Source organism: Homo sapiens, chromosome 7 (genome assembly GCF_000001405.40).
Source record: "Homo sapiens chromosome 7, GRCh38.p14 Primary Assembly".
Lineage (NCBI taxonomy): Eukaryota > Metazoa > Chordata > Mammalia > Primates > Hominidae > Homo > Homo sapiens.
In genome coordinates this window covers 133,036,397-133,062,943 of record NC_000007.14, presented here as the reverse complement: position 1 = coordinate 133,062,943, position 26,547 = coordinate 133,036,397, and the positions used below count along the sequence as shown (strand labels likewise).

The window sequence follows — 26,547 nt, the reverse complement described above, 5'->3', positions numbered from 1 at the left end:
CACCCATTGATTTCCTAGTTAACGGATTAACCACTGGCTTCAGCTGCTTTATATTATGTCTTCAGAGGTCCCTGCCCTTGTTACTGCAGGGACTTTGCATTGGTGCTTCTAGGTGGTATGAAATCAAGTGGGCCGGACACTCCCTACTTGCCCCTAAGTTACTAGAAAGAAGCAACTGTTTTCTTAGGTAGGTTGTATAATGTAGATTAGAAATATAGTAATGTCGTGGAGTCACAGTACTCAGGAGCTGGAAGTTAACTCGGGAGTTATGACCTAGTAATTTCAATGACAGCAGAGAAAAAAGACGCTGTTTTAAAGAAGCTCCCCATTTTTGCTGCTGTAGATTCTGGACACTAACTTTAAATGGAATTATGGGATAGTGGATTGTATTTTCTCACAGAACAAGTGTTGTTATTTGTCATAACCAAGCAAATCATGGGTGTCACCAAAACTATATTAAGAAAACTAGATAAAACAGTGATATAAATTTTGTAATCATGCTTCAAGATTTGTGAAATAAAATACGGCATTGGTTAGTCAAGCAAAACTAATAGAATATAAAGCATAGGACATATACTTAGCAATACTATTTTTGATTTAAATTTCATACATTTGTTGTAAACAATATTAACAATATTTTTGCCTTTCTTGGAATTTGACAGATTTGAGAGCATCATCTGGATGGCCCAAATCTCTTATAATAAGTTGCCCAAGGGAGTTTCAAATGTACATTTTCCTATTGCAAGCAGAGAGGTTCAAAATCAATCCATTGACTTTCCAGCTGTCAGCCAAATAGTAGGTTATTGTTGTTGATGATCTTGTTTTTCCTTGTTAAAAAAAAAAAAAATTTAAAAGTAAGGTCTGACCCAGCATTTCATTTCTTTCCTTTACCCTCTCCTGCCTCCCTGGTTTATTCAGAGTCACTCCTATAGTGTTCTGTATTAGGCCAAATCAGTGCTACCAGGGAACAGTAAGTGCTTTTAAGTCCCCCTTTTAAACCTTCTCTGCCCCCAGGGCTACTTGACACTTTGTTGACAGCTGTCACTGTACTTGAGTATTCCTTGAAAAGCCTCGGGAACCCATGTGGATCATTATAGAAGGATCTCCAAACTTTATCACCGAATTGCTATGGCATGCTTATGACAATATTCTGGTTCTATATGCCCTGCTTCCCCTGAATGAGTGGTTGATTGAAATATGGGTTTTAATTAGCCAGCATCAAATGATTGGAGCTTGAAATTACTTTCAGTTACAGGGTAGTCATGATAACTCACATTACTATAAAGATACAAGGTGTTTGAAACATCTGACAGATTGCAGGGTGGGCAAGTACACGGCTGCCAGCAACCAACCCCTGTGTACTCACTGTGTTGGCAGGACTTCTTTCCTTTGTCAGCTGAGTGAGTGCAGCTGCTTTCCTCCTCACTTCATGCACATGCACCTTGCTCTTTTCTCATAGGGTTTTTTTTTTTTTTTGCTTGTCCACACCCATCATTGCTATAGTCCTGCAAGGGTCACTCGCAGACCTTGTCTGTATTTGATGAGTAGCAGTAGAGCCTTGCTCTGCATTTCCCAATTTATTATGTTACGCTTTGCAGTTTCTCCCATCCCTGGTGTCATTGCCCTAGTCTGGCCACCATTATCTTTTTCCTGCATTACCCTGACAGTCTCTTGCTTGGGGTCCCTGCCTTTAGTCTTGCATTCCCCGGTCTATTCTCACTGCAGCCCTAGTTTCTTTCCAAAGCATGAAACTAATCATGCCATTCCTCTGTTAGAAACTTGAGCCCTCCACCCCACCCCGGCCTTCCTCTTAGGATGCAGCCCAAATCTCTTACATAGCCAGCAAGGTCCTGTACAATCCATCTCCTGCTCGAGTCTTCTCTGGGAATCTCATGGGATTGAGCCCAAATACTGCTTTTGTACAAGACCTTGCTGGCAGACAGACCTTTGTCTGTTGTGTTGAACTTCTTTGTCTAGTCATATTGTAGTTCTTGTATATCCTCAGACTTATCCTTTTGAGTTTTTTTATTTTTGAGTTGGAGTTTTGCTGTTGTTGCCCAGGCTGGAGTGCAATGCCTCAATCTTGGCTCACTGCAACCTCCACCTCCCAGGTTCAAGTGATTCTCCTGCCTCAGCCTCCCGAGTAACTGGGATTACAGGCTCCCGCCACCACGCCTGGCTAATTTTTTGTATTTTTAGTAGACATGGGGTTTCACCATGTTGGCCAGGCTGGTCTCGAACTGCTGACGTCAGGTGATCCACCCATCTTGGCCTCCCAAAGTGCTGGGATTACAGGCCTGAGCCACCGCACCCGGCCTCCTTTTGGGTTTTTGACCGTGTTGTTCCTTCTGTCTGAATACTGTTCCACCTTCTAGCCCTGCCCCACTGCTATCTCACCTCTTACCTGCCTTTTGTCTAGCAAACTCCTGCTCATTGTTCAGATCCCTGCCTAGAAACCACTTACCCCAGGAAACTTTTAATGACACCCAGTCCTGGTGAGATGCCCCACCTGTGTGGGCCTGTGGTACCTGTGCACGTCTCTCGTAGCACACGTCACGTGGTTCTGCCATTGCCCGTTACACACCCCTCTCCTCCAGATCCCATAGCTTCTATTTTCTCATTGGTCCTCCCAGGACCTCCTCTTCTGGCACTTCCTTCAGCACTCCCCCTTGCTTTGGTGCTGAGCTCTCTTTGCCAAGGCCGTTATAGAACTGTGTGTGTTTGCTGCAGGTAAACATTGACCTGTTGAGACCAGATAATTAGGCAAAGCAGGAAAAGAAGAAGTCTCAGAGGGTCGAGGAGATTTCCTTCAAGAGCCATTTCCTCATTTTCTCAGTGTGGACTTTCCAAGTTGATACCATTTTGAAGAGTTTCCTTTTCTTGTGTTACTAATTCTCTTTAGTACTGATCCTTGTAATAGTATGTACTTCATTGTGTTACAATTACATGTTTACTTGTCTGTTTTTCCCATTTGATTATGAGCCTTTGAAAGAAGTGTATGTTCGCTTCCCATGTTCTGTACGCTCAGCCACAGTGACCGTATTATAAAGTTAGGTGCCTCATAAATGTTTGTGGAATGCGTGAGCTAAAGCAAATCAGATAATGAAGCCTGATATGTACAAGTGCCTGTGTCCACTAAGAGGCAAGCAGGAAAAGGGGTCTTTCTCTTAGGTTGGTTCCACTGGGCATGGGTGTGAGTGTCTTCACCAGGCTCCTGATGGTGCTTATACAATGCCAGTTTCAGGTCTCAATCGTAGCAGACCCAAGGAAGCCCTTTTGGAAGAGGCACTTTCTTGAGTACCATCTGGGGAAAAGTACGAGTCTGTGGAGGAGTGGCTAGGGAGCGGGGCTCTGGATTTGGAAACATTGATGTGGAGGTTCATGTCCTCCTCCTAGTTACTAATTTAGTTTAGAAAGGAAATCATCTGTGTAGACTTGACAAGTTTTGGTGAGTGCTGTAGTGAGTTGGGATTTTCCCTTCTCGGACCCTCCCGCTCTCAGTTCCTGCTACCCTCCTCACTTTCCTCCTCCATTGGGTCGAAGTTAATCTGACATTAGTACCTTTGTCCCCTGGAATTTTAGGCTAGGAGTTTTAGGTGAGGTTTGGTTAGGGTGTCTAGAGGTAGGTCCCTAACTTGGAAACCAAGTTACCCCTGGCTTCCTTTTCTAGTAGAACCCGCTGCTCTCTTCCTGTTGTCAAAACTCTGGGACACTTGAGAGTGGAGCTTTTCTTCACTCTATCTTCTCCTGTGTGGCTTTTCTCGTGTCTGATCTCAGCTTCTCACTTGAGGATCATGACTTATTTTCTTCTTGAAAGAGTGGTCTTTCTGCCATCATTCATTTCCTCAAGCCTCTGAGGCCTGCTCTTTGAAGTCTAGGGACTTTGGTGTCTGGAAGCCCAGGAAGGTTGCGGTTTGGTTTGGCTTCTGGGTAGGGGTTGGAAGGAAGGTCCAATGCTTGGGCCAGTCCTCCCAGTGTGGGGACGACTGGGAGATCAGGGAGCTAGCTCAGGGAGCTCCCCGTGTGCTCAAACACACAGAAGCATCTGAGGAGCCCTAACTAATAAAGAGCTAAGAAAACCTCTAGAATTTGCTTTAGCTCATATGGGCTTTTACCCAGTGCTTCCTTTTCACCTCATCACCGTGTGCTACAGTCACAGGGAATGCGTATAATGATGTCGGATTGGCTTCATTTGGTAGTTACGCTAAATTCTTCAGATGCAATTTGTTTTTTTGTTGACATAGTGGTCATCTCATGACTTTAAACAATAAGATAAAATATTGATTGCTGTGTGTCAGTTTTGAGAATGGATCTGAGGAATGAAATGAAAATCAGTTATTAAAATCAGGATAAATTTGATTTAAATCAAAAATATTAAAGCAGCATTTAAGGTCAACAGCTCCCCCAAAAACATTGTTTTGTTATGCAACCAGCTAGGTTACGGATTCTGAATATCATCCTTATAATCATTTAAACAAATTATTTTAACAAAATACCTCTGGCAGCCCTCAATTCATTTCCCTTCTTGAAACTTGTACTTTTTGGTGTGATGGCTCAGGCCTGTAATCCCAGCACTTTGGGAGACCAAGGCAGGAGGATCCCTTGAGCCCAGGAGATCGAGCTTGGAAGTGTACTATGTTTGCATCCCTGCACTCCAGCCTGGGTGACAGAGTGACACCCCATCTCAAAGAAAAAAAAAAAAAAGAAACTTGTGCTTTTAGCAAGAAGAGATGGCTTTAACTGTGCATGCATACTTACAGTAAAAAATAAGGCCAATCACCTGTTTCTTTTTCCTTGGTAGGAAAAATGAGGCCAGCTAAGCAGCTTTTGTTTAATTTTGTGGGACAGCAAAGATACTCATTGAGCACAATATGTTTCTTTAATTTTTCTTAATAACATGTTGTCTTCTCTGGGAATCTGATGGGATTGAGCCCATACACTGCTTTTGTGAAATTTTTTAAAACTTTTCTAAAAATGTTGCTTTAATATTCCATCTCAGAAACTTTTGAGAGTGGGCATTATAAGATTATGGGAAGTTATAATCCTGTTTTCATGATTCTTTGACCTTTGACATATTTTATTTTTTTAATAAATCTTTAAAGAAAATTAAATATATGTATGTGTATAATGAAAAAGTATTTTTGCTCAAGCTTGATAAACATACAAATAATAAATTTTTCCTCTAATTATTTTTTCCTGTCCTATTAAACATACCTCTACTGACATAGGCACTATTTCATAACCCGTGTTCATCTTTTTTGCAAAAATGACATTTACAAAAGTGATGACATAAAACTTGTTAAAAATGGTGATTTTAAAAATTGTTCATGATTGATTATAGGACTTTGAGCTGAAACCTTTTTTCTTTTTTTTTCTTTTTTTGAGACGAGGTCTTACTGTATCACCCTAGCTGGAGTGCTATGGTATGGTAATGGCTCACTGCAGCCTTGAACTGCTGGGCTCAAGGAGATTCTCCTATCTCAGCCTCCTGAGTAGCTGGGACTACAGGCAGGTGCCCCCACACTGCCAATTTTTAATTTTTTTTGTAGAGACAGGATCTTGCTATGTTGCTCAGGCTGGTCTCAAACTCCTGGCTTCATTCCATCCTTCTGTCTCAGCTTCACAAAGTGCTGGGATTATAGGCATGAGCCATTGAGCCTGGCCTGAACTGAAACTTTTTAAGGCTATGTTATATTTTGATTGAGAACTACCTTTTTCTCTCCATCCAAGTAAAATTCTTTTAGTTGAACAAACACCTCCCTATTCCCAGCCCTGCAGCATCATCTGTGATGTGCCTCAATAGGTGTAACTTGAACCAGCCGAACCAGACCCAATTGCAAAGGCCAACTGAAATCACCATCTGTGCTTTACTGGCAGTGATGTAATGTGATTGCATGCTTTCAGAAATAGGGCTACAGAGGAAATGAACCCCAGTTCTTCACATGGGAAATGGAAAGGTGGTAGTTAAATCACCACTGAATAGAGGAGAGAGAGAGAGAGTGAGCTCATGTGGTGTATATTTAGTGTTCAAAGGGCTTTTGCCATTTAATAGTTGTGTGATCATGGACAAGTTGTCTCATTTTTCTTCAGAATAAAATGGGGAGACTAATGCCAATTTCTCATGGTTGCCATGGAGACTAAATGAGAAAATATACAGGTGCTGAGTGAAATATAGCAGGTGATCACTAAGTATCCTTTTCTTTTTTTCTTCTTTAACACAGAAGCATCCAGGGCCATAACTTCACTGCCACCTTTTACCTGTTCCACATTGACTCTTGCCAAGTGAACTACTTTCTGTCTACCCTCTTTGGCTTTCATTTGGTTTTCTGTGCCCTTGTTCCAACAAACATTTATTTATTTATTACTGGCTATGTGCCAGACACTGTACTAAGTGCCAGAGTTTCAAAGATGAATAGGTCAGAGATGTGACTGCCGACTAACTCTGCATAGGGCGGTCAGGGCAGACTTCAGGAAAGGGGTGGTGATGATGTTTGAGCTGAATATTGAAGGAGGAATAATAGGAGTTTACCAATCAGACATGATGGAATTGGTGGTGGGGGCGAGGAGGAGAAAGGGCATTTCTTGGGAGAAGGATGATGTGCGATGATGGGTGCATTGGTTACAGTCATAAAGGGCTTGGTGATTTCTGTGAATTATAACTAGTTATATTTATTTGAAATGCACGTACTTGGTGGGAGATGAGGTTACAAGGAGTAAATACGAATAGACTGACAAAGCTAAGGAGTGGGGATTTGCTTCTATAGTAAATGGCTCTAACCCTACATTTTTTTTTTTTTGAGGCATAGTCTTGCTCTGTTACCTAGGCCGAATGCAGTGGTGTGATCATAGATCACTGCAGCCTTGACCTTCTGGGTGCAAACAATCCTCCCTCCTCAGTTTCCTGAGTAGTTTGGGTTACAAGTGTGTGCCACCACCACATTTGGCAGACTTTTTTCTTTTTTGTAGAGACGGGGTCTCACTCTGTTGCTCAGGCTGGTCTCTAACTCTTGGGCTGAAGTGATTCTTCTGCTCAGCCTCCCAAAGCACAGGCGTGATTACAGGTGTGAGCCACTGCCCTGGCTCTATCCTTACATCTTTATACTATTTTTAATTAATATATATGTGTGAGTATGGTGGGGGAGGAGTGAGGGAGAGATATCACCTCCAAAGTCACCTCAACAGAACTTTTCTTGATCCTATTTGCCTTCCTCTAAACTCACATGACATTTTATCTATATTTTTCTCTTGGCAGTCAGTATTTTATGTATACACACACATATAATTATATATAATTAACTATAATATAATTAAATGTATAACACATGTTATAATTAATTATAATTTGATATATAACACAATTATATTAGAATTAATTATAATAAATACATAATAATTATAAACAATTATAATTAAATATGTAACAATTATATTATAATTAATTATAATAAATATATAACAATTATAATTAATTACATAACATAATTATAATTAATTATAATAAATACATAACAAATATAATTATGATTACTATATAACATAACTATTATAATTATATAACATAATTATAATTAATTATAATCAAATATATAATACAACTAATTATAAATATATAACAATTATATATAATATATTCAACTAATTATTCTAATTAAATAGATAATATAATTATAATTAATTATAATATATAAGTATATTATAAACATATAAGTATATGCAAAATTATATGTGTATATTTTATATACATATCATTATATATTAAGAATACATAATTTTTGTTTTTTTAAAGAGATGAGGTCTCACTGTTTTTCCCAGGCTGAACTCAAACTCTTGGGTTCAAGTGATACTCCCACCTCAGCCTTCCAAGTAGCTGGGATTAAAGGTGAGTGCCACCATGCCAGGCCCCTCTACATTTTAAAAACGGTTACTTATTTATAACTCTGTTAGCACCTTTACTATACATTAAGCTCCTTGTGGGCAGAAGGCATACCTGAGAGCCCCTGGTTCCTTTGTGACCCATATGGCATCTGTCTGACCTGTAGAAGGTGCTCAAGAAACACTTGACAATGGAATGAATGAATGGATGGGCCTGTGATCATCCCCAGCTTCTTCAGAATACTTTCCACTTCAAAAACATGTTTGATGAAAGCAGTCAGTCACAAAAGACCACATACTAAATGATCCCATTTATAGGAAATGTCCAGTATAGGCAAATGTATAAAGAGCAGAAGTGGTGGTTGCCTAGGGCTGGGGTGGTGGTGGTGGTAACAAGGATAGGGAGTCACTGCTGATTGTTGCACAACTCTGAGGATATACTAAACACCATTGCATGGTACTTTAAATGGGTAAATTTTATGTTATACACATTTTGTGTCAATAAAGCTTTTGAAATACTTTTGAAATTTTGTCAAATTTTAACAAAAGTATCTTTAAATGCATTTTTTTCCTGTTTTTATGTTTACCGTATATACATAGGGACTTGCATTATATAATATTTATTGTTATTTTTTGAAGTTTGGACTGGGAGCTCATAGCATGTGCTTTGGGACTTCATTAACCATTTCAGAGATGCAAGGCAGTGTGAGAGGGAATTCTTGTGAGCCTATGCAGAATGACCTCATTCTCTCTGTCAGAGAAATACTGCACTAAGTTATTTTAGTATTAGCAGAATGTCGTTGTTGGATATATTTGGACAGTATATTTTTGTTTCAAGTCATTGAAGAAGTTTGTCTTCATGGAGTAATATATTGCTTTATCTTAATAAATAGGCATAGCATTGGCAGAAGTACAAGGAATGGTGCTATTTTTCTGTCACCTTCAGAATGAAGAGGTAGGTATAGTTTGTTTTTTAGCCTGTTGATCTTGTACTTCTCATTAACAGGTACTTTATTTTTAAAAGTATGTTTTACATTAAAATAGCATTTGTGCACTAATGAAGCAATACTTATTAATAAAACATGCCCTTAGATAAATTGTTTAATGCAGTTTTCTTTTTTCTTCCACATTGTGGGGACTAGTGGTTTCTGTGTTGATGAAAGAGCAGGGAGCATCTTTTCTTGTGTGTTCATTCATGCAAAATTTTGCCCTCTTGAAAAATGAACAAAGATCATAGCCAGAAGGTATTTATCATGCAGTTAACCACAAGAAATCTTGAATGAGATCATCATCAAGTAACTTAAATAAAACAGTTATTTTCTGACACTTTATCACCAGAGTCATTCTTTAGGACACTTAGCATTATTATGTATGCATTTTTCTTTTTCATATAATTGCCAACTATTTTGAAGAATGGGATGCTTCAGATTAACGTCTTGGGAGGGAGACACAATCTACTTGACCCTGATTTAAAGGAATAGTGGAAGTGGGTGGTTCTTCACCACACATGTGATTGTTACTAGGGATTCTTCATAGACTCTGTCATAGCAAAAGTATTATATTTGGCTTCTCATGACGTGTCCCGTGACTAGCAGAGTGTTGCTCAGTGGAATGGCTTGGGCTGAATCAGTAGGTCTTTCCAAGTATAAATTTGAGTGCTCACTAGACCAGAGAGAGGCAGAGGCGTCAGGATTTGGTGGGAGATTCTCTGAGTGTTGCAAATAGTCCCCATCCCTCCTGTGCATGACCCAAGAGTTTGCTCTGAGACACCTATTGAATAAATGGCCAGCCAGCACTGTGGTTAGGTGAAAGGAGCACGAATATTGATAGATATTTAAGCCCTGACGTGACTGAGCCTGGCCTTCAGCTTTGCCTCTTACTATATTTGTGATGTCCAAGAGTGACAGGGGCTAACATAGCTATAAATAAGCAACTATTAAGAAATTGTAAAAAGCAGTGACTGCCAAGAGAAAAATATAGAGAAAATGCCGTGTGAATTTGGAGGAAGTTTAGAGTGATAGGAGCTGTGTGCCAAAGCCACTAGTCTTTCTTGGGCAATTCCCATTATGGAACAAAGGGATCCAGAATGCATTTTCCCAAAGAAAGAATGAGTACAGATGAAATATTGTTGTTAGAATAATTCTTCAGGCTTATCATGGGTTTTTGGGTTAACTTGGAAACCCAAATAGCATTTTACTTTTTAATGACGAATATACAAATGAGCTATGGCACCCCTGAAGAGTTGGCATGGTTTTCCATAGCTGCGGTCAAGGTTGGCTCCTTTCTGTACAGGTTTTCCATATGTCTTGTGAGAGGGTTTGAAATATCAACTTTGGATTCCAACATCTGAGTTCAGTTATTGTCTCTATGCAGTTTTGATTACAAGCAAACATTTGTATACATACAAATGTGTGTCTGTGTATGTGTGTTTGTCACTTAAGAAAATAATGTGTCAACCACAGATATGTTAGTATGAGCATTTTAACAGTTCGTTAGTCACTGAAGTTTTTTTGCAGTACAGGCTAATGCCAAAGGCAAGCTTTCTCCTGCTTGCTGTTTTGCCCAGGGCTGGCATGGCTGGTCAGTGACATCAAGGGATTGTAACAATTCACTTTTATAATAGTTGATATAATTTTGGTTGGCTTTTGTTTATTCACTATTTCAAGTATGATGGTGGTGGTTTTTTGTTTTTGCTTTTCTCTGCTTCAAAGCTATCAACGATTGCATTCCTCTCCTCCACTAAACTTTATGTAGGAGGGAGGGAGGATTTAGTACCTGCACATGGAAATACTTTGATGCTGTGTCGGGTCATTTTTCAGGGAGACAGAGGCCAGAGTCTGTGAAGGTCTGTAGCTGCAGAATGGTTAGCACAGAGGCAATTGATACAATGAGGGGGCTCAGGTTTTGGGACCAGCCAGCCCTGAGTCACCATGGGGCTCTTTATAACATTGGAATAATACTTAACTCAGGGCTAACCTAATGCCTAGAACATTGTAGAATCAGTAGAGACTAAATTGGCATGGTATTGGATTGCTGACTAGAAATACTTCTATCTCAACCTTATAACCAACTGGCTGTTTTACCTTGGGTATGTTTCTTTATTTCTCTGGGCCTTAGTGTTCTTATCTGTCAGATGGTGGAATGGACTGTTATCTCTAAGATTCCCTTGATAGATTCTGAGCTTTTTAGATAAGAACCATTTTCATTCGTCTTTGTTTCCTAACACTGCGATTATACTTGGACAAAACATTTTTTTGAACGAATGATTAGATTTGCAGCTATAGTTATATAGCTACATATAGTTATAATTATGAGCTTATTTGTATATGTCTGTGAACATTTATAAATGAGAATTGTCTTTTTTTGAGGTTATCCTCAAGCAGCCTGAAATGCAATTTTATCTCTAAATGTTCATTCATACATATACATATGTGTGTATGCCTAGAACTAATATATAAAATTTAAAAATTAGAAAAAAATAAAAATGATCAAGGTGCAAGAGTATACGTTTAAACAAATCTATTGCTTTAGAAGAATTTATTTATGTTGCATTATTTGGATATGATGCTTAGAATAACTTGGCTAGTAGAAAAATGCTGTTGGCAGCTTCTAGGTTTAAAAAAAGCACCCCAGAGAATTAGGGAAAAAATAGTAGTTAAAAGGGTACTGTCAAGGTTGGTAGGTCTAAATTTAACAGAGCAGCTGTGTTTTGGTTTGGAAGGGTGTGTGTGTCATGCTATCTCCCCGCGCTGTTTGCTTGCCCTGTTATGAGGCAGAAACATGTTATAATGGAGATAGAGATCCTGCCTTTTGAAATGCAGCCTCAAGAAGTGGCTGCTTGAATGTTGCAGTGCCCCCACTGGCTTACAAGAACCTTGTCAGTGTTTGGAGAAGTTTAAAGCTAGCAGGTGTAATTGTTGTTATGCTTTCTGGCTTGGCTGTGGTCTTTTTCTGAAGGAACTCTTCAAGAACATTGAGCAGTATTCTCTGTGCTTGAAATATTGTGTTTTATTGCATTTAAGATGCCAGTAATTATAAGATTTTATTTTATTTTTTGAGATGGAGTCTTGCTCTGTCACCCAGCCTGGAGAGCAGTGGTTCAATCTCAGCTCACTGCAGTCTCTGCCTCCTGGGTTCAAGTGATTCTGGTGCCTCAGCCTCCTGAGTAGCTGGGATTACAGGCACGTTCCACCACGCCTGGCTAATTTTTTGTATTTTTAGCAGAGACAGGGCTTTGCCATGTCGGTCAGGCTGGTGTCAAACTCCTGACCTCAAGTGGTCTATCTCCCTCATCCTCCCAAAGTACTGGGATTACTAAAGTCATGAGCCACTGCGCCTGGCATATTTTTAAGATTTTATGTTCCACTAAGAAATAACCTTGACAGTTAAGCTGTGATAAAGTGCTTTCCTATCCATTAGAATATTCATTTTATGTTTATTGGAGTTGTTCTATCTATGTTCATAAATAAAAAGGAAAATTTAAGTGAAATGAATTGGTAGCAATATTCTTGAAGCTTACATTCAGAGCCCAAGTCTTCTGAATCATTTTCTGCCTCCATGTTGTCCATGTGAGTGTTTTTTCCTATACTGTCACCCTGTGTGCCATTAAGAGTGGTAGTAATGTAGCAGTTGTTAAAAAGTGTGCTCTACTGTCTATCCTGGAATTTTCTTCCAAGCTGCTGACTCTCATTCTGCATTTTTTTTTTTTTTTTTTTTTTTTTTTTTTTTTTTAAGACACAGCCTCCTCTGTTACTCAGCTTAGGTACAGTGGCAAGATCTTGGCTCACTGCAACCTCCACCTTTCGGGTTCAAGCAATTCTTGTGCCTCAGTCTCCTGAGTAGCTGGGATTACAGACATGCAGCACCACACTAATTTTTTGTATTTTTAGTAGAGACAGGGTTTCACCATGTTGGCCAGGCTGATCTCGAACTCCTGGCCTTAAGTGATCCTCCCGCCTCAGCCTCCCAAAGTGCTGGGATTACAGGCATGAGCCACCACGCCTGGCCCTTCATTCTGCATGTTTTGATGCTACTGCCTTCTTGATCTCACATAGATAATGTCATGAACTATGTTATGACTACCACCTGGCCCACAGTGACAGGAAGATACCGTCGGTATCAGAGACGAATAAATGTGTACCTTAGAAGCAATGGCATGTAGCAGCAGTGCACTAGCTGTAAAAAGGACTTTGACCAAGGAGTCATTGTTCAGAGGTTCACAGTGGAAGTGTGGATTATGGAGTATTTTCTTTATTCTAAATGGTTAAACACCACAAGTAAAGAAATTGTTTCATGTTCAGACACTATTATTCTCTAATTGTATTAATGTACAGTTACCTTTTTTCTTTCATGGAGAATCTTAATGGAGAGTTTAACCTGAAAAGAATAGCCCTGCTGTTTCTATTTTTTTGAAACATCTTTCAAACTTCAAACATACTTTGCTTCTCAAACATTCATAGTGTGTATAAATTATGAGGAATACAAAGATGAGTAAGGCTTGTTGCCCTCAAGCATTATTGGTTAAGTATTGGCGGTTAAATGAGAAGTGGTAATAAACATCACTAACAAGCACATTATAGTCTTCAAAGTAGGATAAAATTGTTGGGTACTGTTTACCTTGGATTTATTAAGTTTAATTAAGTCTGCCTACAATAAATTAAAAAATCACATGTCTAAAAATATGTGCATCATCTTGAATCTGAATCAGATTTCTTTCCCTTTAGAAGCTCTATTGTGGATAATTGATTCAAAAGAATATGATCTGTACATTATAGTATTTATGGCTGTTAATGTCCTAATTTGATCATGGTGCTGTAGTTATATAACAGATTGTCCTTGTGTTTTGGAAATTACGTTGGAATATTTAGGGGTAAAGGCATCATGTCTGCAATTTATCGTCATGTGTTTCAGAAGAAAATATTTGTGTGTGTATGTGCGTGTTATGTTTGTATAGAGAGAATGATCAAATATATCTGGTGAAATGTTAATTGGGAAGTTTGGGTGAAGGGTATACGCGGATTTTTTATGGCATTCTTACAACTTTTCTGTGGTTTGAAATGATTTTAAAATAAGAGGTTATGGAATTGAAAAGCTATTGCTAAGATATCAGATGCCTGGTACTTTTAAATCAACACATTTATTTTATGTGACTTTAGGGCAGATGTGTGCATATTTTAAGAAAAATTCCATTCTCTTGGCGGAAACTTGCAGAATGTCTTCAACTCTGCTTCCTCTTGCTTTCACACACCCCGAAGTGCTTGCTCTCTCACTTTGTGGATTTATATATCTTTTGCGGCCCGCTTGGGGGGAGTATTTGCACATACATTTCTATGTTACTGCTGTTCTCCAAACACTCTATTATTATTGTATCTGAGAGGTTTTCAATTGTTTTAGGGGGGAGTTTCCTACACTTACCCTTTGGTAGTGATTTTCCAATTGTCTATGACTAGCTATTTTGATGACTTAATTTAGAATGGTGGTCCCTTTTGTTTATTTCTAAACTAGCTGCTATGATCCCTGCTTCCCTTCTGCCTCTTTACCCCTCCCTTATTTGTCACCCTTCTCCTCACTTCTCTATTAGGCCGGATTCATCTTTGGAATTAGTAAAAATCCTGCCTCTTCCAGGAAGCCTATCCTGACTATCCCTATGGAACTCTGATTACTTCTTAATTTGCCACTTACTGCACTCAGTTTTGTATAGTTATATTTTATTGTTTTATATTGTTCTCAATGATGGATTAAAATTATTGTTGTTTTGTAGTCACTTCAAGTTATATGTGCATATTATTTTCCCAGCCCAGTGTCAGAGTACTAGCAGATATAAGCAGATATAAACTACGCTTTCCCTCCCCCGCTGACTTTATCCCCACAGCTCATGGCTGTCTCCACGAAGTAAGTGATTCTGTCTGAGTAGGTATTTTTTTTTTTTTTATTTAACCTAGGATCAGACCTAAGGGAGTTTTGTTGTTGTCGTTGTTGTTTTTGAGACAGAGTTTCGCTCTTGTTGCCCAGCCTGGAGTGCAATGGCGTGATCTCAGCTCACGCACCCTCCACCTCCCGCATTCAAGCGATTCTCCTGCCTCAGCCTCCCGAGTAGCTTGGGATTACAGGCATGTGCCACCACACTTGGCTAATTTTGTATTTTTAGTAGAGACGGAAGTTTCTCCATGTTGGTCAGGCTGGTCTCGAACTCCCGACCTCTGGTGATCTGCCCACCTCCGCCTCCCAAAGTGCTGGGATTACAGGCATGAGCCACCGCGCCTGGCCCTGAGTAGGTATTTTTTACTGGGTCCAAAACTGAAGCCACTGTCTGACTTTTGGGATTATCTGTATCTCTCCTTTCTTCCTTTTTACCTCCAATCTCTGAGGATTAAAGATTTTTTTTGTCTGCATTAGCTGAGATATTAGTTTCATAATGTAGCCAATTCATTTACTATTTTTAATTCAGAATGACAAATAAACTGGATTTTTTTCACCTGTAATTTGATCTGTGATTGTTGAAACACGTAAAACATATTTGAACAAAAACATTCCAACACAGTTTATAAATGTGTTATCCTCTGTGGTAAGGACAAAGTCATGAGACTCGTTTTTGCTCAAGGATATACCACATTTGCATCTTAAATACAACTGTTAATATTCTCTTCTTGTTAATTCAGGCAGGGTAGCTTTTCCTGAGTGACAGAAATGTAGATGATTATGTGAAATAATGAGTTGATTGGTTCATATCTGGGTTGTCATTTTGGCTTTTTGGATTGTCTTATGAAAATTTTCTGAGGGCAGTACTCTTTTTTGTAGAGTTGGGATTATAAAACTGTGAAATGTTCTCTTTTACCTTTGTCTTGCCTCTGAAACATTTTTTGGGTTAAATTCTTTAAAAAAAAAGAAGTCCCATTGACTGTGTATGTGCTATTAACTCTAGCATCGCTTCCATGATCTGGTGTTGTCTAACATTTGATTCGTCCCCTTTTGTACATTAGCATATCCCAGCAGCTCGTGGAAGCATTTGTGAACGAAGAAACCGAGGCTATGAGAGATTAAGTGATTTACTCTAGACCACAGGTAACAATGTCTGATGTAAGTTTGGGTCTTCACTCCAAACCTGTACATTCTACTGGATTAAAGGTTCTTAACCTGCTTTGTGCCAAGTTGCACTTTGGCATTCTGGTGAAGCCTGTGGATCCATTTTACTTTTAAATACAAAAAATATGGCCGGGTGCGGTGGCTCACGCCTGTAATCCCAGAACTTTGGGAGGCCGAGACGGGCAGATCACGAGGTCAGGAGATTGAGACCATCCTGGCTAACACGGTGAAACCCTGTCTCTACTAAAAAACACAAAAAATTAGCCGGGTGTGGTGGCGGGCGCCTGTAGTCCCAGCTACTCGGGAGGCTGAGGCGGGAGAATGGCATGAACCTGGGAGGCTGGAGCTTGCAGTGAGCCGAGATCGCGCCACTGCACTCCAGCCTGGGCGACAGAAGGGAGACTCCGTCTCCCCCCCCCAAAAAAATACATAGCATTACAAAAGAAACCAATTATATATAATTAAAAAAACCCAAGTTTGTAATATACACTGACTTACTAGCACATTAAATAAAATGACCTGGTGTTGGGTGTATTAACTACTATTATTTCAAAGTAGTGATGAGCATGAATATTTGGAATGTCTGAAACTATTGTAATGTGTTATGAAAATGTGTGATTTCTATTGGTGACAAATCACAGGTACTGTGGCTAATACTACTAGGTTTTAGGGTATCATTCATATTTGAAGGAAATGCATACTTTATTTAGAAGTTAGTGAGAATAAAGATGCATTTTTTTTCCTATCCAAGTTTACAGATCTCTTGAATTCCCAGGTTAAGAACTACTTCATCAGATTATACCGGTCTCTCATGTTTATAAACATTTATGCCACCTGCTGGATCTGCTCTTAAAAAACAGAATAAACAATTACAAAAGCAAAAATATATGCAAACAATGTAAGACCTCACTAAAAAAAGTAAGATTCAGGCTTAAGTATTAGTTCTTGCACTGCTATAAAGAAATACCTGAGACTGATAAAGAGGTTTAATTGGCTCATGAGTCTGCAGTCTGTAGGCTCATGACTCTGCATGGCAGTATCTGCTGGCTTCTGGGGAGGCTTTGGGAAACTTACAATCATGGCAGGAGATGAAAGGGAAGGGGGTACATCACATGGCTGGAGGAGGAGGAGGGGCAGCGAGAGGTGCCACACACTTTTAAACGACTAGATCTCATGAGAACTCACTATAAGAATTGCACCAAGAGGGAAATCAGCTCCCATGATCCAGTCACCTCCCATCAGGCCTCACCTCCAACACTGGCGATTACAATTTGACATGAGATTTGGGCGGGGACACAGATCCAAACTATATCAGCATATACATATGTTGCGAGATCCTGGAGGGTAAAAATTAAAATTTACTTAATTTAAAATGGTTAGAACCTATAAGTTTAAATTATTTGTGTTTCTTAATGTTCTAGTCAGTTCTCTGCCTACCTCTCCCCTAAAGATAAAATGATCATATTGAAGTTTGTTATTTTCTTCATTAAAAAGCCTTTGCCTTCTATATTTCAGCTTCTTCTGGGCAATTTGTTTTAATGAGGGTGACTGTCATAGAGAGTTTCAGTTCAGTTCTCCATTAGTGATGACTGGTAGGTAGAGCAGAGACAGGACCTGAAATAGAATGTTAGAGTGCACTGAAATGGCATGTCTCTCCTGTGCGTCGTGTAAGCCTGAAAAGGTTTGTTTTATTGCTTTTCACTGGGTGAGTCTGAACCTCTTCGTCAGTTGTCAGGCCTGACAGCTTAAGTGTATTGTAGTTGCTTCCATCCTTACCTAAAATCTAGTTCTACTCTTTCTTTTGTTAATTAAATGGGAGGCATTCACTTAAATGCATTTTATTTCCTCTCTTAGGTGGGGAATCATAAGCTGTTTCTTCTAAACTGTTAAGCCCCTCTGTCTGAGTTGCTCCAGAGATACTAAGTAACTCGGATGCTGTTGACAGGAAAAGCTTTAGGTAGAGGGGAAAAAAACGACTGAGCACATTTACCGCTCAGCAGGGTTGCCATGCTCCCCTAACCCCGCATCATGCAGTGAGTATGTGCGTTGCTTTCCCCAGGCCAGCATCCTGGATCAGAGCTGCAGGACTTGGGAGGCAGTGCCTCAGCCCTGCTGTCAGCCTCATCTCCCGCCTGGGGAGGAGAGCTGCAGATTTGTGTGAGCTTCCATGCAGCTTCCTGGATTCCCTCTCCCAAGTCTGCCCTGCAGACCCATCCAGTGGACTGCTCTTCTGCCATATACATTCTCTCCCTTGACTCTTTCCAGCCTTGGGCTTTCTAATCATTACCAACACTTTACAGTCTTTTTGTATTTCACAAAAATAGCTTGCAAAAGCTTTTGGCCTGAATTTTTGTAACAGTCTTTTGATTACAATAGGGCTGGAGAATACTATTAACTTCTGATTATCTGAGGACAGATTATTTTAAATTTGGCTTATAAATTGAATGGTATTTTATTTTCCTTTAGTACTTCTTGTATTATTATTGTTATTATTTTGGGGTAATTATTCTCCCCACCCATTAACTTTTATTTTGCTGCATCCTATCAGGAAACTTACAAAACCTAAAAATGTAAGCATTTATTCAATTATAGGTAATGTTTGAAAGAATACAGGTCTGCCTAGGTTTGTATTTTGTACCATTCCCAACTGGGAACTTAAATGACAATGTTTTGGAGAGCGCATGCTGTTAAAAGCGCTAATGGAGAACATTTTAATTTCTATTAACAAATCAACCAATAAAACAATTATTTAAGTATTTTCTTTAAATGTCTAGTGAGTTTTGTGATTGTTAGTAGAGATCAGGCAAAGGGGTTTCAGCCCTTCAGTTGCTTTATCCACAGTTGGTTTATCACACATGCTGCTACCTGCCATGGTGATTAGACATTTACATAGTTTAAACTTTTTATTCATAGTCATGCAGTGTTTAATTTATGCCCATAATAGATTATTGGTAGAAATCTGGAAACATACGGGACACTGATGCTGAAAAGCAGGTTAATGAGCATCATAAATGTGATGATGCCTCTGAAAATTAGCGTCAGGATGCTTTTCACTAGACTACTAAAATGTATTCATTTGCTAAAATGCTCATATAGCACATTGGGGTGTGTCTCATATTTTGCTACTTAATCTTAGAAAGGTTGCTCTTCATTTATTAGGAATAAAAACTATCCTCCCCCAATTTTATTTGCATTTGCAAATAGTACCCTGAAATCTTTTATCCTGTCATAAATAAAACACAAAAGTTCTAAAATCAAATAAGTTAACTTCCCTAAGTGCAAAATGTGAGAATTCTGAACAGTAGAGCATGAAAGGGAATTTTGTCTATTTTTTTTTTTTTTTTGAGATGGAGTCTCAACCGGTCACCCAGGCTGGAGTGCAGTGGCGCTATCTCGGCTCACTGCTACCTCCGCCTCCCGGGTTCAAGCAATTCTCCTGCCTCAGCCTCCCGAGTAGCTGGGTGGGACTACAGGCATGCACCACCACGCCCAGCTAATTTTTATATTTTTAGTAGACACGGAGTTTCGCCATGATGGCCAGGCTGGTCTCAGACTCCTGACGTCAGGTAATCTGCCCGCCTTGGCCTCCCAAAGTGCTGGGATTACAGGTGTGAGCCACCGTGTCCAGTCGATTTTGTCTATTTTTGAAACTGTAACAGTTAAGTCAGTTTTGTCCACATTAAAAAATATGGTTGGTCCACAAATGAAATACAATATAGTGTCATATTTAAATTTTTTTCATAATTAAAGGCTGCAACAAGTTAAATTTTATCTTGATATAAATGGTATAAAAAGATTATTACAATAAACTTTGTTATTAAGGGTTGGGTGTGATGGTTCACGGCTGTAATCCCAGCACTTTGGGAAGCTGAGGCAGGCGGGTTGCTTGAGCTCAGAAGTTTGAGACCAGCCTGGACAACATAATGAAACCTCTGTCTCTACAAAAAATACAAAAATTAGCTGGGTGTGGTGGTGCACACCTGTGGTCCAGCTGCTCGGTGGGGCTGAGGTGGGAGAATCACTGGAGCCCTGGCCATTGATGCTACAGTGTGCCGTGTTTGTGCTGCTAGGCTCCAGCCTGGGTGGCAAAGTGAGACCCTGCATCAAAAAAATTGAATACCCGAAGCAAACAAACAAAAAAAAACTTTGTCATGATCTTTATTAATAATATTCATTATTTAAAATAAAATGTTTTAAGTAAAATCACTTATGTAACATACAAGTTACAGATGTTTAAAAATATTACCAAAGGTTTCTTAAGATTGTGTTATTATGAGAAATGCAGTTGTCTGTTGGAATGTGTAGCAGAGAGAAGAGCCTTGGGGTAGGGACATGGAACATCTTCCCGGTTTCTGCATCAGAGAGTGATTGTATGAAAATGTGTACACATTGGCACAGACTAGAGCCAGTTTTGAATGATTTCTGCAGTATATTGGCCTTGCCTGGTCCCCTGTGTCATCGCAGAGTTGATTATAATGATGAGTGTAACCTAGCAGGGATGCCAAGCTCCCTACATCTTTCTGGGATAAGGATGGTTTGAGTAAAAGGTTGCCATGGTTGTCTGGAGGCAGCAAGCAATAAAAGACTGTCTCAGAATGTGTTCTCTTGGTGTTAAGCCTTGGAGGTGTGTCTTTGTGAGTATTCAAAGGGAAACGTAAGATAGTTGGAGAGAATCTTAGGGACATGCAGAAATACTACCGCAGTGTGATGAAGAGAAGCCTTTTTAAGATTGTAAAAGTATAAATATTGCTCATAAAAAAATAGATGTGTTTCAACCAAGCTTGCTTTTAAGTGAATATGTATAAGTGGATTATAGTTCTCCATTTACATCTTTTATAAAATTGGACATGCTATGCTGGAAAAAAAGGGCCCTTGGATATAATTTACATTTCCTAGGAATGTGGCAGTTCTGTCATTGCATGCTTAAAAATAATTATTTTCTTACAGAACTTTACACTAATGCCAAAAACATTGCCAGCACCTCTTATGTATTCGTATTTTACCTAACTTATGCCCAGGCAGACTGCTTTAGACCTGAACTATGTTTATTTTTTAGCTGATAGTCGAAGTCCTCATAGGACTATTAGCGTATCAAAGGCAGTATTGAATTAGAGCAGTTGTTTGCTTTGGGTCTTAGAAATTCCCAGAGTTTAGCAGCAGAACATAGAATAGTGAAAGTGGGTTCTTAGATGGGGACAGCCAGGACAGGGTGTTCTAAATCACATTCAAGTTTTGCGTATATGACTGGAGTAGATGGAGATGGGGGAATAATGAAGTTATGACTCAATCAGTCCTTTCATTTCATTCTGCTTAGTGAATTTTGAATAAAAGAAAACCTGTGAAAAAGGAAGATTTAGGAAGATTTGTACTGGACCCTTGCTGCTATTATGCAGAATGGTACATGGGAAGAAAGGATGGAAAAATAAATCAAGAGCATCGCTTCACTTAGGTTTTCAGCAAACATTGGGATAGCTGAGACATTTTTTCATTAAAGGTTAGCTTGCCAGAAAGGTGGTTGAGAGTGAGTGAATTATTAGTATGTAGGTACTATGATTGTTAGATTATCATTAAACAGGAAGTAGATGACTGGATGGAGCCTTGAAGAATTACTAGAGTAGGAAAGGTAATTTAGTCATTGATGTGCAATCTATAAATTCCTTGTTATTTGAAATTTGAGTGTTATTTATATAGGGATTTGGGTAAAGTAGGTTTATGGGAACTAAAATGTAATCTAATGAGGTAATGGTATTTATCAGAAGGTGATATAATTCTCACAACAATCTTATTACCTGGATACTTGTATAATTCCCACTATACAAGCAAGGAAACTGAGTTACGGGGAAGCTAATAAACTTGGCCAACAATATACATAAACACATGGCATGGCAGGGTTTTAGATCGAGGCATTCTGATTCTACAGGCGACCTTCTTAGCTGCTCTGCTGTGATGCCATGGGCAGAGAACCACAGTTTCAGAAATACATTTACCAGCAGGGACACTCGAGGTGATCTAATTCATGGCCCTCATTTTAGAAATAATAAAAGGGCTCTTCGACTGCGACTGAATGGCTTGTTTTATGGCTTACTTACCCTGGGATGGAAAAAGCATTTTAATGACTCTTTAATTTCCTCTTATTATGGATAGCTGGGTAGTATAGGGGAGTGAGAGATCATCTCTGACTCCCCTTTTTGCTCTTGTGTAAATGGGCTCTTTGGCTGGATCTGCAAACTAAATTGACACCAGGCATATTAACAAGTGAAAAGCATATACATCATCGACGTGTTCATGGGGATCTTCATAAGAGAGTGAATCCGAGGAAGTAACCACAGCAAGATGCTTGTATACTTTTTTGACAAAGAACAATGAATTTGAGAAGAAATGACAGGACAAGTAAACTTTGGTGAGGGGCAATAAATTTTCTAGGGGAGTTACTGAGATATATAGAGGGGTGTATAAAACTAGTGGAAGATAAGGGTTACTTCATTAAGTATATTTATTCAGGTCTGTTGCAGCCCCAGTTCTCAATGTCTGGTGGTAAGGGCTGTTTTCTCACCCCAGTACTGGAAGGGTACCCCTCCCAGAGGAATCTTGATGGCTTACTGCATGCGGGAAGAGAAAGGTCAGCTAGCCCCTTCTGAAACTACAATTCCTCCAGTGTTTTCAACTTGAAATAGTCAATAGGCCATTCCAGCATATTTTGGGATGGCATGTCCTTCACTCCTTCAGTAGGGATAATGAAAAAAGAGACTTTCCTGGGGCAGCTATAGGCTTCTGCTCTGAGGTCTCTTCCAGCTCTTGCAAGTATACCCAACATAGCTGATTTTTAGCTTTTCTTTCTAAGTCTGCATGTTTTTGAGGCTATCCTTTGATTCTTCTAGGTCTGACAAAGGGTAGAGTTGGACATACGTTTTAGTAAGATATGTGGGGTCGAATATAGGTTCCACTGTTCTAATGGAGACCCTAAGTTACATGGCTCAAAAAGTTAAAATTTTATTTTTCTCTCATGTAACATTTTGGATAATTTGATGATTCCCTAATGTTGGGACCCAGTCTTTTCTGTCTTAGGCTCACAACTATCCTTGAGCCTGTGTCATGGGGGATGACTCTGAAGCTGCGTGCACCCTGTTCATTCACATTTTCTTGGCCTGAACTTAGTCACTAGGCTATTCCTAACTGCAAGAGAAGCTGGAAGATGTAGTCTTCCTTCTGACCAGCCATGTGCTCAACCACAAATTGAGTTTCAGTTATTGGAGGGCAGAAAGAATAGATATGGGGCTGCTTTGTAGGCTGCTGCTCGGGGCAGCCTCTGCTGTGTTATTTGAGATTTATAATTTTCCTTGGCTTCCCAGATGACAGTGGAAAAAGGCATAGTCAAGACTTCAAGTGCGGAAAATGTTGGCAACTCTGACATGCAAGTTCTTTTCCATATAGAGCTGAGTTATGCTGGAGTATTTTGGTTACAAAGACTTCATTTTCTCACCTGTCTGAATTCCTGTTTGGATTTTAGTTACTCTTGATTTATCAGCATGGATTAAAAATTGAAAAGACTTGGTATTTTAAAATTATATCTGAAATGGCAGAGACAGCATCTGAGGATTCCTCTTGCTACTATAAGGAATGAGTAATTTAGTTTGATTTTTCTTTAAATCCAAATAAATAAGATGATTAAACTCAAGATAAAGCTGTAATATCTCTTATCGTGTCCTGTCATTTGTCATTGCTACCATGTCTTGAAAGCTTTGTGGAAAAATAATGGTTTTGATATTTGTTATTGAGATAGAATACCCACAAATAGGTATTTAAAATATTTTTGTCTTAGCCAGTTGATTGTGGCGTGTGCATGGACTAAGCAACTTAAAAAAAAAGAAATTGGTTTGTTGAATAACAGCTTTCACTAGAGACACTAAAGTCCACAAAACCTCAGTGAGCAGTTGTCAGATTCCATTTTAAGGAGGCAAAGCTAAACTTTATATGCGTTTCCCACCATGTGTAAATCCAAACAGCAAGCAAGGACTATTAAATGTTTTATTTTGCTAGTGGCAGCAAAGAATGTAATGTTGGATATAATATAGTTTACATTTACAGTTGAAGTTATATTTTCAATTGTATGGAATAAAATGAATAGGTCTCTATTTCATAGCCAAAGTGGACAATTTATAGAGTGATTTTCTAGAACACCCCAATATGTAGTGACATTTTGTGGCAGTGATGCCACATGTAGGAAGTGGATCTCTATAGAACTTTGCTATTAATGTTGCGGGGTATTTGTTGCATGATGTAGAAAATGCTATCCGGGTTACCTTTCATTCCTTATATCTGACTTAGCTTAACCTCAGCTGATGGCTTAAGTCAGTGGCCAAGAATTTTTCATCAGCTGTCCTTGGTAACATATATCATTCATCATACTAGGATGATTGGTGTTATCAATTGAAAAATCTAAATGGAAGACAAAATTAAATGCTACTTGAGAAGCTAGAGTGAAAAGAGAATGTCTTGGCTCTCTAACATTTCCTCTCTTTTCTACCTGTATTCAATATGGCCATGAATATCCTTTTGGAGACACTTTGAATCTCATTGTGTTCAATTACAGAGGAACTCTTCAGCAAATAACCCTTGTATGGTGTGCTTCTAGATAGTGTACATAAGAAACTGTGTGCTGTAAATTCTGCTTTCCCAAATGTTATAAAGGTATATGATTGCATTTTTCTATAATATAATATATCATATAATATAATACAGATGTTTGATTGTAATTTACCTTTTAAGAACACATAGTCTTATAATGGTATATGGGCAGGATACCTGTGGGGTCAAAGGAAAAGAACATGAACCAATTTTGTTTTCTTAGAGCCTGTGCTACCTACTTTTAGATACTTTAATCCCAGCCAACTCTCTTTGGTATAAGAATGGTTTGAACTTCTGTTAGCTAAACTGATATACTATGTAATGTTCATGATTGAATTGATAAAGGTGTTTTTTAAAAACTGAAATTATGCCTCATTATGCATTGTTTAAAAATAACTTTTAAATGATTATGAAAGTAAAAATGTGTTCTTGGTAAACACTGCAACGAAGTATAAAGAGAGAAAGGAAAATGATCCATTTCTCCCAAATATAAAGGTAATCATTAGTATCATTTTGGCATATGTATTTATGTATGTATGTATTTATTTTTTCTGAGACAGTCTCTCGCTCTGTCGCCAGGCTGGAGTGCAGTGGCGTGTTCTCGGCTCACTGCGACCTCTGCTTCCCGGGTTTGAGCAATTCTCCTGCCTCAGCCTCCCTAGTAGCTGAGACTACAGGTGTGCACCACCACGCCTGGCTAATTTTTGTACTTTTAGTAGAGGTGTGGTTTCACCATGTTGGCCAGGCCGGTCTCGAACTCCTGACCTCAGGTGATCCGCCTGCCTCAGCCTCCGAAAGTGCTGGGATTACAGGTGTGAGCCACTGTGCTGGGCTATATGTATGTATTTCTTTGTGATGGTGTCCTTAGGCTTTTTTCAGTACTGTACATATAGAAAACAAAATGAAGACCAAATAGTGTGTTCAGCCTGGTATCTTTTCACTTGTGAGAAATTTTTCGTGGGGTTTAAAGCATGTTTTTTAATGTTAGCATTGTATTATTTGACCATTTCACTGTTTTTGGACATTTAATTTGCTTCTAGTTTTTCATTGTTTTATATATAAAATGTATATTGTTCTCCCTCATTGTCTAAATCTTTCTCTTTGCCACACTACACTTCATGTTTCTTAGGAGGAAGATTTAATAGTCTTTTAAGCTTGTCATGAAGATGAATTTTTAGAAAATGCTTGATCAACATCAATTTTACTTTAACCTTTGGTCTCGTCATCATTCATCATATTCTATTACTTTAGCAGCATTCAAAGATAATGAAAGAGATTCAGATAAATTCTTGTTACTCTCAGATCAAATTCATTTACAATAAATATGTGAATCTTGATGATCAGAAGCTAAAATACTTATTGAACCTGGACATCAAGCCAGATCCTAAATCTTTATGAAAATGCACCACAAATTCTTCTTGTTACATAATCTTTTCTGTAGGTTAAAAAAACCAACAAATCCTAGCATGTTGACATTCTGAAGAATATATGGCTTTAAACAGTCTCTTGCAAACTATAGTACTGGCTCAATGAAATGTTATACAGCATCAGTCAGGATTTTTAATAAAATGCTGTTGGTTCTCCAATTGAAGAGTTTCATTCTGTTTATGTAATGATGTTCATGTTTGACCTGAAAATACCTCCTCATTCTACGGCATTTCATCTTCAAGAGAAACCTTATTAGTAATTTGTAGATTAGAAATAAAGTCACAGAGGGTAGTCAGGAGAACACAGGTCTCTGTAAACCTGACTCTTTTATTAAACATACTTTGCCATGAATACTTTTCATTGAGCTGTTTTTCTACCTATTTAAGATGAACCAGATATGACATATTTCTGTATTTTATTTCACAATCCTATGGTATATACCCCCAACACCCACACAGTGGTTATAACTGTAAAATGAAAGTTTTGCATGTGTAACATGTCGTAACATTCTTATTTCACTGCCTTGTTTGAAATGCATAT

The 26,547-nt window shown here is 38.8% G+C and overlaps 1 protein-coding gene across 4 annotated transcripts in view, besides 1 other annotated feature; it reads left to right on the top strand.

The window, feature by feature from the left end:
* CHCHD3 (coiled-coil-helix-coiled-coil-helix domain containing 3) overlaps nt 1-26,547 on the top strand; it is a 297,221-nt gene that overhangs the window by 19,147 nt on the left and 251,527 nt on the right. The gene's annotated exons all lie outside the window — the stretch shown is intronic.
* Nucleotides 19,269-19,431: a silencer, noted in NCBI's record as "fragment chr7:132728273-132728435 (GRCh37/hg19 assembly coordinates)". NCBI's record gives its function as "represses an EF-1alpha promoter that drives an FKBP-Casp9 reporter gene in an ReSE screen in K562 erythroleukemia cells {active_cell/tissue: K562}" and the evidence as "EXISTENCE:reporter gene assay evidence [ECO:0000049][PMID:32094911]".